Source organism: Homo sapiens, chromosome 10 (assembly GCF_000001405.40).
Source record: "Homo sapiens chromosome 10, GRCh38.p14 Primary Assembly".
NCBI classification, from domain to species: Eukaryota; Metazoa; Chordata; class Mammalia; order Primates; family Hominidae; genus Homo; species Homo sapiens.
Genome location: NC_000010.11, coordinates 63,716,217 through 63,721,886, shown reverse-complemented (window position 1 = coordinate 63,721,886; position 5,670 = coordinate 63,716,217).

The following is a 5,670-nucleotide window of genomic DNA, read 5'->3' as shown; positions in this document are numbered from 1 at the left end:
CTCATTGTAACCTCAATCTCCTGAGCTCAAGTGATCCTCCCACCTCAGCCTCCTAAGTAGCTGGGACTATAGGCATGCACCATCACACCCAGCTAATTTTTTTTTTTAATACAGACAGGGTCTTGCTAGGTTGCTCAGGCTGGTCTCAAACTCCTGGCCTCAAGTGATCCTCCCACTCAGCCTCCCAAAGTAGTGGAGTTACAGGCGTGACCCACCATGCCCAGCCCAGACTAACATTTTTAATACCTGAAAACAGGGGCTAGGCACAGTGGCTCATGCCTGCAATCTCAGCACTTTGGGAGGCCCAGGCAGGAGCCCAGGAATTCAAGACCAGCCTGGGCAACATAGTGGGACCTCATGTGTACCAAATACACACACACACACACACACACACACACACACACACACACACACACACAATTAGCCAGGTATGGTGCATATTCCTGTAGTCCCAGTTGCTCCGGAGACTGAGATTGAGGATCACTTGAGCCCAGGAGGTTAAGGCTGCAGTGAGGCAACAGAGTGAAACCATGTATTAAAAATAAGAAACCATGTATTAAAAATAAGAAACAAACAAACAAGGACTCTTGTTACAGCTGAATGTGAGCCAAAAGCTATGAAATCTACCAGAGATTGAAGTTACAGAGCACAGAAGGGAGATTTAGCATAGTATGGTTGAAAGCAACCAAGGGAGAAAAAGTTGTTTCCCATTTGTACCTCTCAGAATTTAGCCTTGGGCTAAACTCATGTTATGAAGCAGTTACCCAAATCAGGCAAAACATTACTATTTAATAAAGCTTGATGGTGGGTGTAGTCACCAGCCTTCAAGATGGCCCCAAGGATCCCCACCTACTGTTATTCACAAGCTTCTGTAATTCTCTGCCACACAAGGGGACCAGGGCTGGTTTGGTTGATCAATAACATATGAGAGTAAGATTAGATTATTTTAAAAGACTGTGGCTTCCTCTCTGTCTCTCACTCTCTTCCCCTCTCCTCTTGCTCTAGGGGAAGCACGTCCTGTGAAGAGTCCCACATGTCAAGGAACTGAGCTTCTAGCCGACAGCAAGCAAGAAACCAAAACCTGCTAACACGGGTGAGTCTGGAAGCAGATTCTCCAGCTCCAGTTGAGCTTTGAGATGACTGCAGCTTCATCTCACACTTGACTTACCTTGCGAGATACCCTTAGCCAGAACCACCCAGCTAAACCACTCTCTGCTTCCTGACCCTCAGAAATAGTGTGAGATAAATTTTTGCTGTTTAAGCTGCTACATTTTGAGGCGATTTATCCCACAGCAGTAGATAACTATTATAGTGTACACATAAATACTTGATATACAAAAAAAACTCATAATAATTTAAATATATAGCACAAAGTTTTCCCCCACGTTTACCATCTTGAAGCTAAAGTAACAAGAGCTCTTAGGGGTGAGGACATTCAGAGAATTTAGAAACTATCCCTGACTTGGATGAAAGATTCTTATATTCCCCTGAGAGCACACTCATAAAATAAACCAGGATTTAGAAATAAGAAATGCCATGAAATTAGTTCCTCTGAACTCAAATTATTGGAATAATCTATAAAATCAAAGGTCGCTGGTATAGGAGTCAAAGAGTGCCACCTGGGAGTGCCGCTTAATATTGCCATAGATACGGCAGGTAGCTACCAAAACAGATTCAAAAAGCAACACTCCTGCAATGCTCCTGACTGACACTAGATGGCGGTAAAGTTTTATCATGCAGTTAAATTTCAATTAGTCTGGCCAGGGTTAAAATAATTTAATGAGCATAAGGCGAAAAAATTAAAAGAACCCTTACTTAATTACTTAGTAAATACTATTTTTGAATTATTATTTCTAAGCTGGAATTAAAATTGAGTTGCTTATACTGATCTGTGACCTGAAACCATTTTTGAAAGGAGGTGGGTTAAAGTGTATTCATTATTCATTTTATAAAAATGAATAGTTTAATAATTGTAATCACTGCAGTATTAGCATCCATTCAGCTATTCCTCATCTGAAATTTGAGATGGTTTCAGCAGAATTGAGGCCCAGTTTACTTTTGAAAGATTGGTATTTATAAATAAGACTAGGAAAGTACTCGAATAATTGCAGGGCATTTTTCATTTCTCTCCTTCAAATTATTCCCTATTATAAGAGGTTGTCTGGCTTAATAATTAATAGCACAGACCTAGAACCAGACTGTGTAAGCTTAAATCCTAGCCCTACTTTAGATTATACCTCATGATCTACCTTATGAATGAGTCACAAATGAATTCATACACATAAAGTACTAGAAACAATACTTTTTCTTTAGAGATTCTATTTAAATATTAACCATTATTATCACTTCACATAAGTTCCCTGAGTCTGAGATAGAGCATGCTATGGAAATATACAGTAAAAACTGAAGCATGAAATCTAGGTCAATTTCCCAATGTCACACAATCAGCAGAATCAAAGTCCACAGATAAAAACAGACGAACACTACCACTTGGAATTGCCCTTTGCTATTGACATAGAGGGTCTGCTTCCAAAAACGACGAGTAAACTAGGAGTAGAACACAAACCTTCCAAATCACAAGCCAGTGACCTGTCCACTGCACCATGACAAACCAGGCTGATTTATTGACTGAAGAAACTCCTAAAAGACAAGTATTTGACAATATTGGCTGCTAGTTAAATGGCAGGTGAAATTCTAAAGTATTAACAGACACTTCTGTCCATTTACTGCATTCTGTTTATCACTTCATGAGGTTCTGCCTTAATTGCCTCAGAGAAGGGAGGATACAACATAATCCAGAAAACAGAATCTTCCTAAAGCTTAGGCCCCAGAAATGAGATAAAAGGTGTAGAAGGAAACCTGCCCTGTTAGGACAGAGCTTCCTCTGCTCCCAAGACTCAGAAGATTTATCTGATAGAGCAGAATGGAGAGATTTGAAAGAAAAGTGAAGACACCAGTGGGCTTCTGAAAAGGGACCCTGGGTCTAACCTACTTTTATCTTAAGCTGAGCCCTATATTTGGGGTCACAGGGAGGAATAATAAAATGTCCAAACACGTTTGGGGATTCTAGAGCTGAGTATCCTGCTCCCCTTTGGGTGGAATCTGGGAGCTATAGGACTCTCTAGTTCCCCACATCTGGCTTGTGCAGAAGTGGAAGGAAAATCTGTATGACATGTCTAGGCAGATGGTCCGCTAAGAGCTTCACAAAGTTCCAAAGCCACAGAGTGGTGTGGTGGCAGAGAATGGTGCCAGAAATGCAAGATGAGCATAGACCAGAGTTTCTCACAGTGCAGCTGGCGAAGAAGCATTCGAATATCGCCAACATGCAGAACGCGGCACAAGCAAAGCTCTCAGAAGCCACAGACCAGAAGAGGCTGGACCATCAGAAACAAAGGAGGGTACGGCAGGGACCCCCCCTAGAAAATGGGAGTATCCTTTAGGATATCAGTTTAGCTGTTTTCAAAGAGACCAACATAACTGAGCCTTAAACAAGATAGAATGCTCATTTCTATCCACATACAAGTTCAAGGTAATACTGGTCAGGGGGCTAGAGCTGCTCTGCACCACCAGATCACCCAGGAGCCCAGGTTCCTTTCATCTTGTTACTTTGCCACCCCACAGAATGCTATCCTTGTGCCCTCACGGAAACAAAGCCAACTCATCATCACCACATCCTCATTCCAGCCTGGGAGAAAGAGAAAAAGGGATGTGCAAAGCTGAGGGTTCAGAGATGCCATTTAAGGGCCTGAGCCAGGAGGAGGTACGCCGTTCCCACTTGCTGCCGACCTGCCAGCCTTAGACACATGTCCACACCTCACTTCAGAGAGGCTGGGAAGTGGGCAGCCTGTGCCTAGGTAAAAATAAGGTAGTTCTTTGACCAAAGAAAGAGTACATGGATATCTGCAGATAAGTGGTGATCTCTGCTATGCTCAGTGTCACATGAAGGCCAAGGTGGATATATACAGGGTACATACAGGGTAAGACTGTATTTTTTCCAATGCCTTAATGCTACATACACCACTCGAATCTTAGATACAACTCTGGGCATTGGGGGCAGGGGGTGCCTGAAATTTAGCTGGCCAGTGTTTATCATATGATTTAAAACAAAAGCTCTGGCCAGATATGGTGGCTCATGCCTGTAACCCCAGCACTTTGGGAGGCTGAGGCGGGCAGATTGCTTGAGCTCAGGAGTTTGAGATCAGCCTGAACAATATGGTGAAACTCCATTTCTACTACAAATAGGAAAGAAATTAGCTGGGCATGATGGCATGTGCCCGTAGTCCCAGCTACTTGGGGGCGGGGGGGGGGCGGCGCCGAGGCAGGAGGATAGCATGAACCCAGGATGCCAAGGCTGCAGTGAGCTGTGACTGCACAACTGCACGACTGCACTCCCGCCTGGGTGACAAAGTGAGACTCTGTCTGAATAAAAAGCTCTGTCCAAATGAGACTATGTTAATAAATAAACAAGGCAATCAAATTGTCTCTCTTGAGCATCTGAACCAGAAATAGATTGAAGAATATGGTATGATAGAGCCGTAAGAGAAGGAGATGCAAAGAAGTCATGGAATCAGGCCGTGAGTCAGCAGCAAAGGTTGCAAGTTGCCTTGAGTTAAATAAATTCATGATGTGAGATAGAAATCATCACCAGGGCTGTGCCTGCAAACTCACAAAATAATTGATGCTCTCCTACATTTTCTATCCTCCCTTGCAGTGAGGTTAGAGCCATATATCTAGCTCTGGCCGGTGAAAGGTAAGCAGAAGCATCAAATGTCGCTTCCAAGTCAAGGTCACTGAGAGCCAGGGACCTCCTCCAGCTCTCCTGTCTCTTGTGCAGTGACTTTGGAAACCAAGTGTTAATATGGCAGCATTAGACACAGATGGAGAGGCATGGGGTCTCTGGGTAGAGGGGAATCCCTGCTGACTACATCATTTTATGTGAGCAAGAAATCAATTTTTGTTGTATAAAGCCCCTGAGATTTCAGAGTTGATCTATTGCGGCAGCTAATGGTTAATTATCCTGACTGATACAATAACCAAAATGTTTTAGTACTTCCCATACTGTAATTATTCTAGTGATCATAATTGCACAGTTGCAACTTGTTGAGAAACATAAGTCTGAAACAGTTGTTTACAGCTGGTGTTTGTCTAGACCATGGCAGTGTCCATTCTGATTGTGCCTATGCCATCTGACTTGGTAAAGATTTCTTCACACTTTGCCTTGCTCATAGGAAAACTATATACATGCGCCCTTCAACGTATTCTAAAGTGAAAGCTTAAAAGCATAAAATGTGTTTTAAAATTATAAGTTAGTTTTAGAAAGGAAAGATTTCTTTCCCTCACCTATTGCTAGCTTCATGGCTGAGGTACCTACAAAAGACAGATTAACAAGAGAAAAGCACATGAATGTATTTAATATAAGTTTTATATGCCACAGGAGGCTTCAGAAAGAAAGACTCAAAGAAAAGGGAAACCTGTGTATTTTTATGCTAAGTTTGATGAGGAAGTGGATAGCCATGAAGTACGACGATTGGGCAAAGGGGGTATGACCTATTGAGAATAAACTGGGAGAACTTAGCAAGAACTGTTTGTTTAGATTCTTTGTGTTTCTGTGTCTTCAGAGGTAAGGATACTCCTTTCCTCGGGGTATAGGGTGGACACTTCTCACATGAC